The sequence below is a fragment of the Homo sapiens genome, chromosome 1 (genome assembly GCF_000001405.40).
Source record: "Homo sapiens chromosome 1, GRCh38.p14 Primary Assembly".
Classification (NCBI taxonomy): domain Eukaryota; kingdom Metazoa; phylum Chordata; class Mammalia; order Primates; family Hominidae; genus Homo; species Homo sapiens.
The window spans coordinates 55,702,623-55,721,629 of record NC_000001.11 but is presented as its reverse complement, the minus strand read 5'-3'; the positions used below and the strand labels follow the sequence as shown (position 1 = coordinate 55,721,629).

At 43.1% G+C, this 19,007-nt stretch overlaps 2 annotated features.

Annotated features, from left to right (window-relative positions):
• Positions 670-1,170: an enhancer, noted in NCBI's record as "H3K27ac hESC enhancer chr1:56186133-56186633 (GRCh37/hg19 assembly coordinates)". NCBI's record gives its function as "activates a minimal SCP1, AML or CMV promoter by ChIP-STARR-seq in naive H9 embryonic stem cells {active_cell/tissue: H9 hESC(naive)}" and the evidence as "EXISTENCE:reporter gene assay evidence [ECO:0000049][PMID:30033119]".
• Positions 1,171-1,671: an enhancer, noted in NCBI's record as "H3K27ac hESC enhancer chr1:56185632-56186132 (GRCh37/hg19 assembly coordinates)". NCBI's record gives its function as "activates a minimal SCP1, AML or CMV promoter by ChIP-STARR-seq in naive H9 embryonic stem cells {active_cell/tissue: H9 hESC(naive)}" and the evidence as "EXISTENCE:reporter gene assay evidence [ECO:0000049][PMID:30033119]".

The following is a 19,007-nucleotide window of genomic DNA, read 5'->3' as shown; positions in this document are numbered from 1 at the left end:
TCAGCCTCCTGGGTAGCTGGGATTATAGGCATGTGCCACCATGCCCAGCTGATTTTTGTATTTTTAATAGAGATGGGGTTTCACCATGTTGGCCAGGATGGCCTTTATCTCCTGACCTCATGATCTGCCCACTTCAGCCTCCCCAAGTGCTGGGACTACAGGTGTGATCTACCATGCCTGGCCTTAATAAAAATGAAAAGACATAATCCATTGAAATTATTTACATTAGGGTTTCTCAACATCCACACAACTGGCATTTTGGACTAGACAATTCTTTGTTGCTGGGAACTGTCCTATGTACTGCAGGATGTTTAGCAGCATCACTGGCCTCTACCCACCAGATGCCATAGCACTCCAAAAATGTCTCAGACATTTTCAAATGTTTCAGGGGTTGGGGGGCAAAATTAATTTCCATTGAAAACCACTGCTTAGGCTGGCACAGTGTCTCACACCTGTAATCCCAGCACTTTGGGAGGGTGAGGCAGGCAGATCACTTGAGGTCAGGAGTTCAAGACCAGCCTGGCCAACATGGTGAAAGCCTATCTCTACTAAAAATACAATAAAAGAAAACCAGGCTTGGTAGTGGGCACCTGTAATCCTCCTGTAATCCTAGGTACTCGGGAGGCTGAGGTACGAGAATGCTTGAGCCTGGGAAGTGGAGGTTGCAGTGAGCCGAAATCACACCACTGTGCTCCAGTCTGGGCAATATAGTGAGACTCTGCCTCATGAAAAAAAAGCCTAATAATAGCTCAGTGAATGTTAACTATTACTGTAATTTGTATTATTGTGTTGTGATTATTAATGTCTTCTGAAGATGAAGTACAAATCTCCCCATTCTATGCTACTATAGAGAAGAAAGAATTCAGTTTTTAAAGCTGAGATAAATCAAATAATTCTAGCATCACAGATTTGCTGGTACTAGTTCCCCCGTGTATTAAATAGGCACAATGTGGCTATTTCTTAAGCTAGTTGAAGATTCAGTGAGCAAGCGCAGATCAAACAGCCTGGTGCTGAAGAGTAGATCAGTGGCTGTTACCTGAATCATACTGTTTTGTCCCTTTGAGGAGGGGTGCTCTGGAAAGAGCCCCTGCCAGCCTCAGAGGAAGGGACATTGCTGGGCAGCAGGTCACATGCAGTGCTTGTCTCAACAAAGCAAAGTAACATGTGGCAAGCACAGCTGGGGGCAGCTGTTCCCTCGTTCCCTGAGGATAAAGCCCTGCTCTGTGGATGAGCATTTTTTGGCACCAGGATAGACACAGCTAAGCCTAACTGGTTATCTGCCAGGCTTGAAGCTGGCCCAACCTTGCCCACCCATCTGCAATTCTTTCCTGATTAGGAAGAAAGTAAATTCACCTCTGAGTCCTCTGCGTGGGAACAAAGCTCTACTTTGCCTGACTTTCAAGATACACAATTAGGATTCCCCAAAGGTTATTGGTGTCAGACTGGCACACAGTAGGTGTTTAACATACTTTCTAAAACCTTTGATGATGCTAGTTTTATGTATCCTGCTTCACTTAATCCTCACACTAATCTTTTGGAGTCAATATTATTGAATTTTATAGATGAAGAAAAGGTTCAGAGGGTTAAGTGGATTTTCTAACAAAACATAACAAGCCGAGTGGTGAACCTTGCATTTGAACCCACATCTGTCTAACTCTGTGCCCTGTGATCTTTCTAATATTGCACCTGTAACGTACAAATCTGGGAAAGAAAAGTAAATCGGGAGGCTATTTCATGATTTTTTTTTTAACTCTCAAGCAGGTGAAAAGATTGCCCACTCACACAGACCCAAGTAACAGATTAGTCTCTCCAACTTCATTAGAAACAATTTTATTTCTCTGAATATTGTGTCTCATTGATTTGCCCTTTTTCCAGGCAGGCACAGTGTTAGAGGCTGAGAATTCTGATCTGAAAAGCCCAAGTCAAAGACCTCCCTGAATTTGAAAAGCCCACAGGAGAAAAACAAGAGATAATCCTTTGACATTTCTTTGCAAGATCCCAATTGTGGCAAATTTTGTGTTCCCAAGTGCTGTGGAGGCACAAGGCAGCAATGACCAGCTCTGTCTGTGAGAGTCAGAACTTCCCAGTCAAAGAGAAATGAACTGAATCTTAAAGGGGGAGCAGGAAGATGTGCACAGTGACTTGTCCCTGAGCCTGGTCCTGGTAAAGGGAACTTAATGTTTAAAGGCATAGTGATGTATAAAGCGGGTGTTTAGGGAGCAACAAGTAAGGCTATGTGGTTGGATTTTAACATCTGCCATTAGGATGCAGACACGGCTAAACATTTGCCAGGTCTTCCATAGCCCCCTAGTATGTCAGAGCCAGACATTCACAAGGTAACTGAAACCAGAGAAGGAACCTGGCCTGTTCAGGGACACTGGAGAGCAAACCTCACTCCTGATTCCCAGAACAACACTTCACCAAACTGAGCTGCCTCTTGTGTAATCACCCTCATTCTCGTTTGGAGCCACCGCCTATGTGTCTCCTGCCTGGCCCAGATTCCTGGGGTCTCAAACCACATGAGACCTCAGAAGGGTGCATTAGTCATTTGCATTACTATCCGACCAGCATAGTTTCCTGGCCATGAAGCCTCCTGGCTTTAGAGATGCGTAACATGTGCTCATTTCCCTGCAGGGTTCAGCTTCGTTTAAGCTCAAACAAATGAGAAATGCTATGAAAAAATGTACAGTCCTTGACCTTTGAGCTCTTCCAGTTGGCTGATGGCCTTGGGTGAATTCCTCCCCCATGAATCAAAGTCAGGAGCCAAGTTGCATTATTTTAAGGACTCCAGGCTCAATGCCTTTCCCCTGTTTGCACTGCTCTCTCATTCCCTCCAAGTCCTACTGAGTCTTTGAGGCTCAGGCCAAGTGCCATCTCCTCTGGAAGCCTTCTCCCATTCCACCTCTCCACAACATCTAGTCCAAAGCTATCACTCTCTTCTCTGAACTTCTAAAATACTGTCTCTAATATCTATTCCACACCCAGCATATTTTAATTAAAATGTGAAAAAGGAAAATACAAATTTATGTCTTGTTACTTCCCCAACATTATACACTCTGAAGGCTTCCCCAGCCATATGGCACTGTCTGTCTCAGGCCAGTGGCACATTGGCTTACTTCTACCTTTGGATTGATGTCATTCCTACCTCCCAACACACTGTTCTCACTTTGTTTTCCTTCTCTCCCCCTCCATATCCACTCATCTGGCTTTCCCTACTGGGCCTTAGTAGATATTGAACATTTAACCATGGGCTACAAGTTACCATGTGACCTGAGCTTCCCAGGATGAACTGACTGTTGTCTGGCCCATCAAGCCATAAAGTTGGGTGTGTTCATCAGCACTCTACCATCAAATGGAAGTGACGTATAGGAGATGGGGTTCAAACAAGCCCTGGAAGCATGAGTAAGTTATGTGAAGAAGTGACCCAAATGCCCATGGTCCTCACTCCTATGTTACCTTATATCTCCCAGCCTGCACCCTATATCCTCATGAAAAGTTTTCTGTGATGAGTTGACACCTTTACCTACTTCCTGAATGACTACAGAAGCCTCTGAACTGGTCCCCTTGACTCTAATCCCTTTTATTTCCTTTTCTCCACTATAACTTGCCAACATGATCTTCAAAAAATGCTGCCCTGAGCACATTGTTCTCAGAAAGCTATGGCCCATTCCCACCCCTGTTGCTTGCAGAATTCCTGCTTACTATTCAAGGCCATGCTCATACTCTGCCTTCTGTTATCACTCCCCAGAGGGTACAGCTGGTTGGTGCTTCTCAAACATTATTCCCAAAGGACCCTTAAGGGCACAGAAAAGTGATCAAGTGTTCCTGAAGGTCCTAAAGGTAAAGCCTGAAACAGATCTCTATAAGAGTCCTTCCAAGACCAATGGATTATCTAAGAATTATGTCAACTTTACCTTTATTCTATGATATTTCTGGATGATTCAATATTACCTAATGTTATGTTACTTACATTTTCCTAGTAAATGTGATATTCTGTAAAAACATGCTGTCTTTATTCTCTAACTCTGTATATAGCACTGACAAGCCACCATTCCTCCCCCACATAAGTCTTTCCAAGTTTGAGAAACATGAGCCCTTGAGTACTTTTTTATTCTTCTATTTCTCTCGGGCATGGTTCTTTGCCTGAAAAGTTCAGGAAATTTCACACTATGCTACGGCAATATGCACAGGACAGTCCTAGGCATTTGGAGTGTTCATAGATTCTCCGTATCAATTAAAGATTGCTTAAAATTGAAGATAAGTCATGACTATACACAGTGATAATACTACTAAACATCATGCCAGGAATGACAACTTATATAGTGCTGACTAACCAAATACTTTCCTAAGCTCTTCATGTATATAAACACACTGAGTTCTGAGAACCATACCATGAAATAAATACTGCTAATATCCTCATTCCAAATACATGATAAGAAAACTGAGCTTGGCTTTGAAATAGGCATTCCAGCTCCAAAGACCATCACCTTAACCACTACATTAATACTTCTCAATTGTCATTAATATTAACATTATCAATAAGAGTAATAACAGTAATAGCAGTAATAGTAGTAGCTGCAGTAGCAGCTACAATCACAGTAACTGCCCACACACAAGCACACCCCTTAGAATTTAAATAAATCATATAAAATCTTCTTGAAATCCTGATAGTACAGATTTGTTTGCCATAAGACCTTCATAAACAACTGCTCTCTGAGCTCTATCTTCCTTTTCTACCCACAGAAGTTCAGGCAGAGGTCTCCCAAGATCCCTGTGGTTAGAAGTTTCAGTGACAGCATGCTGAAACTAGATTGCTATGCACACAAATTGAGGCGGCTCTGTGACTATAAGTATCATGGGCAATAAGAAGGTGAAAATTCAAAGATCTCAATGCTTCTGATTGACATTCAAGAATCCACTTTGGTCTGGCTCCTACTAACCAATAGGCAGTCCTTAAACTTGAAGTCCTTTACCAGAATAGAATACTTGTTGGCTAAATGCAGGCTGGTATGCCCAAATAAGTCATGGAATAAAAGGAAATAGGATGCAGCTGTGTGCTCCATCGACCTCCTCCTACCTCCCACACTAACCAGGTTCCAACAGTGGCTGGGTAAATGGGGCAAAATTGTTTCTTCATTGATTCTTAGGTAGGACAATATTAACTATTATCAAGTGCAACTGGGTTACCACTCAAACAGGAAATACGGGAGCAAATGGAAACTGCTCCTGGGTTTGATTCCAAGAAAAGACTCTTATCAAAAGAATGCAAGGGAGTCAATGTGGGCATGAAGGGGGTCACTGATGGTGTGTGGCCCTGTGCTGGATCTTTATAAATCACTGAGATCATTGATGTCAGTATAACACGTGTCCATTCCCAGAGGGGAAAGGATAGGGCAGTGCTGGGGCTGGAGTCAGTCAGTGGCAATAGGAGAAAGTCCTAGCAGAAGGGAAACACCTCCAAAGGTCTAGCAGTAGAAAAAGGGAGCCAGGGACAGACTAAGAGTTGTCTTTTAGCCACATCTCTCAATCAGCTAGAGGGAGATCTTTTAAATGGATGGGGGAGCAGTGATTAAGGTTAGGATTCTAAGATTAGGGGAAGAAGCAAGAAAAGACTTTAGGCTTGGATTTAATTAGATTAAATCCTCAGTCAAATGATGGTGACGTTACCTCTGTCACTGGGCCATCATTGATTCCTCAGTGTCCCAGATGAGGATACTGGTGCTCAGAGAGATAAGGTAACTTATCCAAGGTAATACAGAAACAAATGTGTGGCATCAGTATTTGGAGTAATATCCATCTGACCACAAGGCTCATTTTTTTAAAAAAATATATTCTAACAAGAAGTTCTGTTTCTGACCAAGGATATACTGTTCTTTAAAACTTTAAAAAGGTGATGGCTTAAAACACACTAGAAAGTTTAAATTTAAAGTTTCTGGTCCTTTGTATAAGACTATAAGATGTAGCTTCCTAAAATCTAAAGCTCTCAGAAGTGCCTTCATTACTGCACATGACTAGGTGAGCTGGTTCCTGGCCTCAGCAGGATGTGGGTGAGACTCGGGTCCATCAGACACATGTCCATTCCCAGAGTGGAAAGGATGGGGTAGTGCTGGGGCTGGAGTCAGTCAGTGGCAATAGGAGAAAGTCCTAGCAGAAGAGAAGCACCTCCAAATGTCCAGCAGTAGAAAAAGGGAGCCAGGGACAGACTGAGTTGTCTTTTAGCCACATCTCTCAATCAGCTGGAGGGAGATCTGTTAAATGGATGGGGGAACAGTGATTAAGGTACGGATTCTAAGATTAGGGGAAGAGCCAAAAAAAGACTTTAGGCTTGGATTTAACTGGATTCCCCCCCAAAAAAGTTACCAAAATGTGGTATCAGAAACACACACTAAGGCTAATTTTTTAGGAAGGTGAGCAGAGTCCGAATATCAAAAACAGGTCAAGGCAGGAAAGGGATAAGCAGAACAAGTAACTTGATGCACTTGAAATTCCAAATAAGGACTCCTTATGGTCTTGTATCTAGGGACAGCATGCATAGGATTCACCAAATGCTGGTATCAGAAAAGGCATTAGAGACAGAGAAAATAGCATCTACCAAAACATAAAGGCTTGAATGTATATGGCATTTTGGGAAATACTGGACCTGTGATTGAGGGAAGTAGTACTTGGAAAATGTCAGGTGGAAGCAAATTGCATAAGACCTTGAATGTCAAATTGCCTGGAATTGTCTTGTAAAAAGTCAACAAATCTGGGTAATGCTAACTGGCAGATGATAGAGGGCAAGAGGAAGACACAGGGCCCGTGGCTGGTGCTTAATAGAAAAAAAATGAATAGTATGATAAATTCTGCTGTAGGATGACACACACAGCAAATAAGTGAATTAAGATATTCAAGCTAGAAGAGATCTTGGAGACTAATTTCTTCATTTTATAGTTCAAGATACAAGTCTATAAAACAGGAACTCATGGTCATGTTAGGCAACTAGAACCTAGTGCTCTTTCCATTCCATTGTACTTTGAGATTGCAAGGTTAACAGAAAATTAATTGAGTTCTCAAAAATTTGATATTGTTAGTTATAAAAATAAATGAGAAAAAAAATCTAAGTTTCTTGTGGCCTGGGAGTGGGACTGAATAATAAAACTGAAAGCCAATTTTCTGACCTAATTTCAGAGTCCAAGAACTTGACCATGGACCGCCCTTGGCTCTTCTCCCCAACTTCTGCAGGTTGACCTCATGTGCATTTGATCCCTCGGTCTTCAAGCCTTTTAACTCAAAAATTGGCATAAAACATTGCAAAGTCAAAAATATAATTGCAAGAGATTTTCTGTTTTGCGTGGAAATGAAATCTAATTCCAGGAAACAGCTAGATGCCAAATCCAGGGAAAGGTAAGATCAATATGAAGATAAATCCATTCAAGTTACTAGCCACTTGCTGGTAACCCTAAACAGAGGAGTAGAAAACAAACTTTAATACCTGGGTTTCCCAAGAGAGCAAAGACCCACTGCTTATTTCCATTTATTTTCTCACCTACACTGGTGCCATAATTGAGGTAGAGATACTCGAAAGAGCAAATGGAGCCCAGAGGAGGAAGCCACCATTATTGGGGAGACCAGAAGGCTCACCAGAAGAGGTAACATTTGAATCTGTTTTTGAAAGATTAGAAGGTATTTCTCCTGACAAAAGACAAGAGGAAGGTTATTCCCAACAAAGGAAATAATTTATGCACAGACATAAAAGGGACAATTGAGTGGATGGCCAATATAGTTCAACATGACAAGAAAATGAGATTGAGAGTACGGAGAAAGAAAAGCATTTCAGGCTTGTGCAAGGGCAGACGTGTGGAAGAACATAGTGCGTCAGAACAATGTCAAATAGTTACATGTGGGTCGAGCCAAAGTACAAGAAGGAATATAGAGGGAAATAAGGCTGCAAAGGGGAGGGGTCAGGCCAAGGACGACTGTGAATACCTGGCTAAGGAATCTGCCTCTTATTCTGCAGCTGGGGACAGGAGTCCACTAAAAGTGTATGAGCACATTTGAAATGTGCTTTGGGGAAAACAGACTTTTCCTCAAGTTTCCTCACCTGCACCAACATCACCCTTCTCTGAGCAACTTACCACTAACAGGAAGACTGCTCATGGGACCCTTAACACTGCTAACTGGATTTGCCTCCTTTGTGCTGTGAACAGCTCGAAGGCAAGGATGAGGTCTAAATAAACTCTGTATCCTGGGCACCCAACACAGAGTCAGCCCCATGGGAATGCTTGTTGACTGAATGCAGGCTGGTGTGCCCAAATAAATCATGGAATAAAGGGAAATAGGATGCAGCTGTGTGTTCTGTTGACCTCCTCCCACCTCCCACACTGACCAGGTCCCAACAGTGGCTGGATAAGTGGGGCAACATTGTTTCTTCATTCTTTGGTAGGACAATATTAACTACTCTCAAGTGCCACTGGGTTACCACTCAAAAAGGGAACATGGGAACAAATGGACCCAGCTCCTTGGTGACTAGGGGGACGTATTTCCTGAGATCAGGACATCATGAATGCATCCCACTCCATTCCTCAGGCCCCACTTGGTTCTGCCCACACAGACTCCTATCCTGCAAAGCCAAGACATTTCTGATATTGAATGTAGCTGATTGAGTGTGAACATAGATGCCTTCCTGAGACCTATGTGTATCTAGCTCAAGGCGTAAGATCCTTCCAGACAAGTAGCTGTGCCAGATGGCAATACATCTATTATACATCTGTATTGGTTCTCGCAGCAACATTGCAAAGTCAGTCTTACTGTCCCCATTTTACAGGCAAGGGACCCAAAACCTAGAATGGTGGAGTGGTTCTCAACCCTGGTTATAACAGAGAATCACTTGAGGGATTGGTAAATACTAACGACCAGACCCCAGCCCAGATTGCTTGAATAAGAGTTTCTGGGGTGAGGCTCACACATCAGTGTCCAAGGTCACACTGCTGGTGAGTAGCAAACCCAGGACTGAAACTGAGCTTCCCCTAGCCTCAGTATCCTTTCCAAAGCCCCATTTGCAGTAAGCAAAATTCTGCTTGAGAATTGTCCCTGGGAGCTTTAGGTCTGGTGTAAACATTCAGAAGCTGGGTGGGAGGCAGAGAAGGGGACAGGAAAAAGGCGTTGCATCAATTTTCCAGTTCCCTAGGCTGCTTGCTTTTGATCTTAAACCAAAGGATTGATTTGTGGCTTCTGTGGCCCATTAACTGTTTAGATTCCTGTTCAGAACACAGCACAGTCTCTTTCCTGCCAAGCAGGGGTGTCCTGGCACTGGGGCCTTGCTCTTGTGTCTCTTTGATTGGGGCATTGCTAAGGGCAGTTTTGGCAGCTTTATGGGCTGCGTCTCAGGCTGCTGACGTGGCCGCCTGATGGATGGCCTGCCGTGCTGTGCTTCTGGGGCCATGCCCCTAACTTCACCGAAGGAACTTGCTTGGGCCATGTGTTTTGGCTTCTTTTTATGAGAAGATTTGTGTTCGCCCATGAATCACAGAGTAGCCATGCTAGAAAGAACCTTATAGATCATGTGATCCACGACCGCCACTATTATCACTCTCCAGACACTTCTCTGATGAGAAAATGGAAGTTTATTTGATAATTAAGTATTAATTATAAAGTTCAACAGAATAAAATATTTCTATACCAAGAAATTATTATAAAAATGTTTATTTCACATCAACTATATGCCAGAGACTTTACATATATTATGTTGCTTAATCCTAAGGGCCACTCATATTGCACAAATCCAGGGGGCACCATTTATCTCATAGAGTATATATTACTTTACAGATGTTCAAGAACCTCCTAGAATAGTGCTGTTCATAACTTGGGTGGCCATACCTGGTAGCCCTCTTAGGATTGCTGGCAACCTTATGAGGAAGCTGTCATTCCTGCAGTGGTTCCAAGTACTCAATACCTGTTTCCTTCTGCAGCAAAAATGGCTCATCACATGAAGATTACCAGCCAAGTGGGAAACAAGCACCACCTTTGAGATGTGTCATTATAATGTGTATCAGGCAGTTTTTGCTACATAACAAATCACCCCACAATGTAGAGGCTGAAAGCAATTAACTATCTGTTATTGCTCACAAATCTTTAGGTCAGCGGGGAAGTTCTGTGGATTTGGGCTCAGCTCAGCTGATCTTGGTTGAGCCTATTGATACATATTCACCACCTCATGTGTAAACCATCCCATTCTAGGATGGCCTTGGCTAGGGTGGCTAAGATAACTGGGCCTCTCTCCATGTGGTCTCCCTTCGGGAGGTTAGCCTGGGCTGTTCACATGAAGGTCAGAGTTTCAAAAGAACAAAGGGAGCAGGTAAAACCTCTTGAGGCCCAGGCTCAGGACTCATATAATCACTTCTGCTTCTCTGTTTGGCCAAAGCAAGACACAAAGCCAGTTCAGATTACAGGGGTAGAGTAATGAAGTCCACCTCTGAATGAGAGCAGGCACAAAAATTTGTGGCCATTTTGGTAACCTATTGTCCCTATAACTCAAAATTACAGAGTTATGGGTTAACTCTGTTAGAGAACATGGCTTAGGTTTCCATCTGAAAGTGGTATGACCTACACTTTCCCCATAATGTACCAGTCTGACCAGCAGCTGTCCAGTTACAAGAGGAAAAGCTGGAACACAGAACAAAAGATTGGGATTGTTGTCCAAAGCAGTGAGTTCATCTAATAGGAAGGGGTTAGTGTTTGACTTTCATTGGTACCTATCACTTTAGATATTCTGGTACATATCACGTTAGATACTCCTTTTCTCTTAAAGAGAAGTGTGTAAGGATCTGAAAGTCTATAGGTGTTCCATTTAGCACTGAGAGGGGAGTAGAATGTAAGTTCTTCCCTCTGTGGTTCAAGGTGGGAATGTGGGAAGAATAGAGGAGAGTGTCCCTTCCTGATCAACAACCCCCAAATCTAGACAAGGAAATGGAGGCTCGGGGAGATTAATATACATACCCAAGAACACACAGTTGACAAGGTTAGGCATACTACCCACATTGTGATACGAAGGCTGACTAAGATCAGCCTTGCTTGGGTTTCCATCCTTAATAGCTTCTAGCCTTCTGCTGAGGGCCCGACAAGGCTCTCAAAAGTACTGAGCAGCTAATTTGAGCTGAGCACCCTTCTAAACACCTTCATATAAATTAGAGCATAAAATCTTCACCACTCTGAATGACAAGCATGATTATCTTCATAATTAAGAACACAAAATGCAGGTAGAGATGTTTAAGATTACACAGTTAGTAAACGGGGTAATATGGACCTAATTTTGAATTCAGGCTCTCACCAAATTCAAATGCTTTCTTCATTATAGTGTATTTATTCAGTTTTCTTGTCATGCATAGTATGTGCCAGGCAAACAGGGTTATTTTTCTCCCCAAAAGATTGTTTTATTCTTTAGTTCTTGCTTTTGCTTTACCTGAAATGTACCAGCAACTACTTTTTTTATGATGTAAATTTCCCCATTCCCACATTCATTGGCTTCCCTAGCTCTACTTATAAGATCCTTATTTTTTAAAGACTAGCTCACATACCACCTTCTCCAATATCCAGAATTAAAATCTACTCTTCCTTCATCTTTCCAGTAGGAAATCATCTCTCCCACTCCGTGTTCCTACAACATCTCACTTCACACCACCATTATCATTTACTTGTTTATGTCTACTATTTACTTGTTTATGTCTACTATTTACTTGTTTATGTCTACTATGCCTTGAAAGCTTATTCACAGGACTCATCATTGTAACCTCAATGCCCAGAATATAGGTTTGTCATTGACTGGGAGGATAAAAGCAAAAAAAAAAAAAAATTAAAAAAGAAAAGAAAGAAACTACATGAGTTCCATGCTCAGGTGGCTGGTAGTGAGTAAATCCCCATTAGCTGCTAGCCAACCTGGGAAGACTGCCTGGAGGAAGGAAGCTGTGGGTCTGAAATCCTAAGAAACGTCTGAATTTCATCAGTGCTTTCAGCTCTTCTCATCCTTTTGGTCTCTGACATCTAACAGGCTTTGAAATTGCTTTGGTAGAAATCAATAGTTTGTCAAGCTTAGTCACAGCAGTTTTTGGAAAAGAGAAGGGAAAAAAGTGTGCAAAGACTGGTGTAATAATTTAAGTTTTATCCAAATAAGATGTTCCATGAAATGCGGAAGACTGCTTAAAGTGACACATTTCTGGCAGCTGCGATTGTCCCTGGGAAAGATAAAAGGAGGATGGGAAGAGAGCATTTTGTAGGAGCTCTCACCACTTCTAAACCAAGTCCCTTTTGTTTCTAATTCTCAGAGGAAAGAGGGGATGAGAATAAAGGTTTTCTAAAGATAAAACAGTAAATGTTCATGCCGTGTGTGTCAGGCATCTGATCAATTCTAGCATGTGTATGTCACTTTATAATCTATAAAGTGTTTTCCATCTATTTTCTTATCTTATAATAAGTCTATAGAGTAGATAAACCCATTGATAATCAAGGAGTGCTGGAAGCTTAAATTCACAGTATAATTTAAATTTTTCATTGTCTTTTTTGAAGAGACTTTTATCATGACGCATGTTTTCTTTACGATGACCTTTGATTTTTCTTCCAAGACATAAAGACTAGTTCTTTGAAGACAACTCTCCCCCACCAGGCGATCTAATCCAAAGGAAGTGATCCAAGACACAAGAATAAAAGGAGCAAGATAAAGGCTTGAAGTAAAAGAAACATTTCTGGCCCTAGATTCTATTCTGGGTTTGCCTGTGACCCACTGCATGGCTTTGAGCAAGTTGCTTCAATTGTCTTAAGTTTCCCAGCCAGAGAGTTAACTATTTTCTCCTCTCTGCTCCTAGAATATTTTCAACACTGTATTATAATTTAAATTTTATAACATGTATTATTTATGTTACCTCCTCAGAGAGACTTTCCCTGACCATCCCTGTGTACGGTGGTTTCTCCCACCATTATTCTGTCTCTGCCCCTCACTTGTGAACTTCATTACACTTATCATAATTGCTCTTTATTTTCTTTGTTTCCCTACTTACTTGGTAGAGGTTCTGGCTGACTCCCCATCTAGAATGCCAGCCTCATGAGGACGGTCTTGTTCACCAGGCCAGTGCCTTGGTGAAGTAGGTTCTCATATTAATGGAGTGGATGATGCCTTCTCTAGGAGAAAAAGAACTCTTCTTTGACTTCTCTGTTGGCCCAGAGTTCTCTGTTGGCACAGAGCTGATTCTCAATAAAGGAAGATGTTGAGGGGCGGGAATACGCCCCTGTCATCCCTCACCTCACACTGCAGCCTTGGCCTATGAAGGAGAGAACAACTCTTATCCTTGTACTCAGTGCCTCTGCCCCTTACCAGTTTCTTCCCAGAGGAGGAGGAATTGTCCACCTGGTTGGATAGACCCTGACAGTGCCGTACCCTGAACTGTGAGTGGGTAATGACACACCATGGAAATGCAGTGTGCAGCTGTGAACACATCCTATTGTGCTTCCTGAGGCATGAGGAGGAACAGGAGGCTCTTCCCCCCCGCCCTTTTGGGTCCAAGCATGCTGAACTATTGTCCATTTCCTGTCTGCCTACAGTAAGCATCTGCCAGGGAGACATCCCTCAACTATTCTCCCATGTGACCTTTGTTAAGGTGAAAGGATCAGGCAAGACATCCTCATTCTTGTGGCTGTTTAGGTAAGTAAACCTGGGATTGGCTTCACTAAACCACATATCTTTCTTTGTAGATCTGAAATTGTAGACTCAATTCTAAGTCCAGGATGGGAAGGAAGGCATGTTTCAGTTTGCACCACTTTCTCCAATACATCCTTTACCACTGTTTTGCAGTGAGGTATTATATGATTGCCCAGACATTAACAAACTTGGAATTTTATTTTTTGTTTTGTTATGAATGTGTCTATAGTGTACCCCCAGAAGGCAGGAGAGATAATTCTGAGGACTTGAGCACTAAACTGGACCCCCAGTCCCCAAGAGTGCTTTGTTTTTCTGTGTATGGTTCCAGACAATTTGTATCCCAAAAATGCAGAATTGCTGAGTGTTGAGTAAGAGACTCTAAATGTGAAGATCATCCTAGGTGACTCCTATACACTTTGAAGTTTGAAACCATGTCCTAGCAATTGGCTGAATAAATCTGAGTTTGACAGATGGACCTCATAGATTGATTAGCCTGCTCTGAGATCATAAGTTTACTGCCTCACTCTCAAGTGACAATCCAATTAGCAAGAGGGGGTTGCTAATTGAAGACTTATGGTCTTTGGCATTAGACCTACAAGAGTTGGCCACAGCACAGCTGTCCCCTAGCTGTACAACCTTAAGCTGGGTACTGAATCTCCCTGCATATCAGTTTCTTCAACTTGTAAAACAAGAAGAATAGTACACATTTCTCAAGGAGGGTGTAAAGATTGCTAGTAACATATGTGCAGTTTTTGAGGCATACCAGTAATTAATGAATATATTATGAAAGAAAATGAACAAAAAATAACCTCCAACCCTATAGGGCAAAGAGATAGAATGATGGGAGATATCTTGTACTGTGAAGTCTATAGGAGGCTTTGAACTTTTATCCAGATTCTGGAGTAAACAAATGCAAAGACACACTTGGACATGACCACACACCAAGGCCATTGCTACAAAATAGAATACAATCTATTGTGATCACTGATACATCTGAACCAATTCTGTTTTTTTTCCAGCTGACCTCTACCAAGACCTTATGGCAGGAATGTCATGTTTCCATAACCTTGAAGATACCAAGTATATTATCTGCTCTGCAAAGAGATAAAGTACACAAGGCCTCCTTGTTTCATCTTAGAAACTTCAGTTAATAGAGATCAGTAAAGCTAATTGGAGCTCATTAGTTGTAGAGGCCAAGTATTCTCATAGAAAAATTATTCCCAGGCCACAATTAGAGAATGTCAATGCTAGAAGATATTGAAGGGTGATTTTTTAAAAATTCAACCCCCTTTTTTTTTACAGATGAAAAACAGGCCCAGAAAGGGGAAGTGACTGGCTGCAGGTCAGCCATGTCACCCACTTCTGATTAGACCTAGAGTCAGGAACTAGCTGGAAGTCAGGGCTCCATCACAGCTAACCACAGCAAGCCATGGTGCAAGACCTGGGCAAAGTTCTAGAAATCCACACAGAAAATATGAAAGAAAAGCAGTTTCCCTGGTGTGGCTTGGTCCTCGACTGGGAGGGAGAACTCTGCACTTTTGCCACACAAAGCCTGGTTGCTCATCTTTTCCCCATAGGAAACCACAGAAGCCCCTTTATTGTTGGGAGCTGGTGGGGACCCAATACGTTCTTTCCCCAGGAGATCAGTTCCTAGGAAGCCATAAACCAGTCTTTTCATTTTATTTAGGCCTCACAATTATCCATAGAGATGGGCATCCTCATTCCAAACCAGCAGAGGAACAGACAGAAAGCTGCAAATGTCTCTGAGCCTCCCTGTCTCATGGCTCAGGGTGGCCAGCCCCGACTGGAAGCATAGCTACCTAGTTCTGAGGGCCTTCTGTTCTCACCATACCCTGCTGCCCATGCATATTGCTTATCTCAATAATACAAACCATGTTTATTTGTTTGCTTGCTTTATTTGTTTCTCCGATAGAAAATATGCTCAATGGGGGCAGGGGGATCTTGCCTGTCTTGTTATTTAGCATTTCCTTAGGCCTTTGGGCAATGGTGGATACTTCTGTAGGTGTTCAGGAAGGGGAAGATAGAGGACAGGGAAAGGAGGAGGGAGAAAAGGAGGAAGGATAGAGAGGAATAAAGGAAGAAATTCTGCCTAGGTGCCCTGTACCTCTATTTTCTGTTCTAGAATCGGATCATTATAATGACAACCCCTCTAGTGTGCACAACTTCTACCATTTATAAAATGTTTTGGCATTCTTTGGATTCTCCCTATAACCCTGTAAAGTAGAAAGAGAAGCGCTCTTTATCCCGATTCTATAGATACATTCACAAATTGATCATCTCCTGAGAACTGCCAAGTACTAACAACCGTGATAGCCACGGATGCACCCATGACCATAATAACCTGGTTCTCATGGGGATTTCTTTTGACCTGTCTCCCAAAATAGAGTATTGCAGGCAACAGGAAGGCCATAATGGCGCTGTGTTCACAGAGAGGGATTTGCTCTTTGAGTCTTCCCCAAGCTCCATGCTCCAAACAAGGTGGAACCTTGAGATGAGTTTTAGAAGGGTATGTGCAGAAGGAACAGTGCATACAAAGGTGTACACATTTGAGAAGTGTGGGGCCTTCCAGCAATGTGTCTGCCACCTAAGGTGCCTGCAGAAGAGCAGAGGCACTGGCCTTGGAACAGAGAGCAGTGACCAGACCTCAGAGAGCCCTCAATGCCAGGTGAATAAGCTTGGACTTCAGCCTGGAGACATAGGGACCACTGATGTGTATACACCAGAAAGTGGCCACATCTGATCTTCAAGTCAGAAGATCACTTTCAAGGAGGCAGTAGAGAAGATAGAAAGGAGAAGGGAAAGGCAGAAAGGGCAGTGAGAACAATTCCAGGGCTGGAAGGATCATCCTGGAGAGAGAGAGGAAGAGAGTCTGCACCAGGCAGCCCTGGGACTCTGCAGCAGAGAGACTCAGGTAGAGTCAACAACAGAATGGGCTGTGCTTCTGGGAGAGGAGAGATCTGCCCAGGGTCTCCATAGAAAATAGATGGTAAACCTTGGTCTTCTGTATCCTGGGTCAAAATTCTTCCCATTGCAGGGCAAGTGCTGCCTCACACATGAACCTTCTGGTCAGTTCCCCCAAGGAGTACTGCGTTCCCCAGGAGCCTACCTTCTGCTCAGCTACCAGCTCCTGGCCCTATCCCTCCCTGCCTCTGCTTACCACCACAAATAAAAGCTTCTTTACCTTCCAGGGAGTGTTAGAGATTACAAAGCTGCCAGCCATAGGCAACAATGTCCTCTACCCTTGAGGGTTAATGTGGGCCACTACCACCTACTGAGGTACCTCCTGTTCATTCATTCATTCAACATTTATCTTGTTTATTTTGTACTGAGCACAGGGATCCATTTGGCCTCTCAGAACTTCTCTACAGTTGTCCTTTTGAAGATTTGTTTAATGCTAAAGCTCAAAGAGACTTCTGAGCTTTACTTGGGCTCATGGTAGCCATGTGAAGTGTCCAGGGCCACAGCAAGCGGGTTAACAGCTCAAGTCCTGAACTCACTTCCAACCCCATGGGATTTCCAATGACCTCTTAGTGGCCTAGGCAATTAGGACTTCATCTTCGGTCTGATCAAAACAGAATGGTTTTCATGACAGGAACAGGGAGGATGTTGACCTACAGAGGATCCAACAGGGGAGTGACTGTCCTCGGTCCCTAGGAGAGACAATGGAAGATCTGGTTGCTCGACACCATGCACACCAGCAGCACTCTGATACATATGGTGTTTATCCTTTCCTCATTCTTTGGTGATGTGCTCGTTGATGAGCTGTGGAGCATATCCAGAATGTTTTTGGAGCTGTTAGCTATTATGTCCTAAAAAATAATAAATTGCACACTGTGGCTCTGTTTCTTTCTTTCAAAGCAACTGGAGAGCTAAAAATACCAAGCTCCTTCCAGGGCCCACATAGTGTCAGAGTTACCACCAACGGGAGGGTCCCACTGGCCCTGGAGACCTTGTTGACTTTGAAAAGCTCACTCAGCACCAGCTGGGAGCCCTCCTGGCCCCAGTGTCTCCTGGACACCCAGCCGGGCAGGCTCCTCTGTGCCGACACAGACAGCAGGCTGCCCGTTGTTGGCAGATCACAGAGCTGCACCCCCAGCCCATGGCCTGCCCGCTCCTTGGGCCACCAGGTCTGTGTTTATTATTCCAGATGATAAAGCATACTGTCCTGAGGAGTTCAAAGCCCCAAATAACACACTGGCTCATGGGCAGGAAAGTTGCCATTGTTCATTTCCTAGAGCTGTAGGCTAACCTCTTGCTCCCTTCCCTCTTCTTCTCTTCCTTCCCTTCCTCTCTCTTCCACTCCTCTCTTCTCTCTCTCTAGCCTATTTTCTTCTTTCCTTCTCAGGCCTTATCCCCTATTCTTCTCTTGGTCTCTCCCTTTTCTTTTCTCTCTAGAGCCCCTGGGGCATATGGGTAGAAAATAGTTTGAAAACCCCTGGGTTAGAGGCTAAGGGCCTTCTTCCCACTGAGATTGTCTAAGAGTCATTCCTTTCCATTCTGTCTTAGGCCACAAGTTTTGAATGACAGTTTAAAAGGTGGGTGCTAAGTGATAAATGTCTAGCTTTCAGACCAGGGGACAGAAATCCTTGGCCCGGTCTGCCTAGGATCTTAATATATTAAAAGGCATGAAAAGAAACGGGAATATCTATAGGTAGTGAAATTGACCAGAAAGACAATTCTGCAGCCTTGCTAGATTTGTGATTATAGGGAAATTATTTCTCTGTGGGCCTCAGTTTCAAATATGTCTAAAGGAGTTAGGAATCCCTGTCTTGCTTTCTTTCGGGAAGGATTAAAATCACCTAAGATCATAGGAAAATTCTTTGGTGCCTATGCCAGAGTATAGTAATATTATTACAGGCAACATACTACCCATGTTTATTGTGAGAATAAAATGAGGCTGTATATAAACTCTCTCATATACTGTCAGGCACAAACATTAGCTACAATTATTTGCCATTGAATAGGTCCCCAAAAAAGCAGGCTGAGATGGAGATGTTCAAGCAGAAACTATATTAGAGAGTGCTTTCGGGATGCTCAGATGAGACTGGGAAGGGTAGGAAGCAGAGTCAGGCAGAGGAAGAAATAAATTTCAGTGCAGCCTCAACACATGTTCAGCCAACATTAAAGAAAGCTCTGAAGCCGAATGGTCTTTAAGAGTTGCCCTAAATGAAGATAAGGGGTCAGGCATTTATACCTCCGCAAAGTTTAGTCACTAGACATGGGCTGTCCCAGAAAAGGGGTGTGATCTTGGGAGAAGCAGCGCTCTTCAACTGCTACAATCCTCAAAGGGGACTAAGAGTTGAGGGTTGTCTGCTGGCAGCCC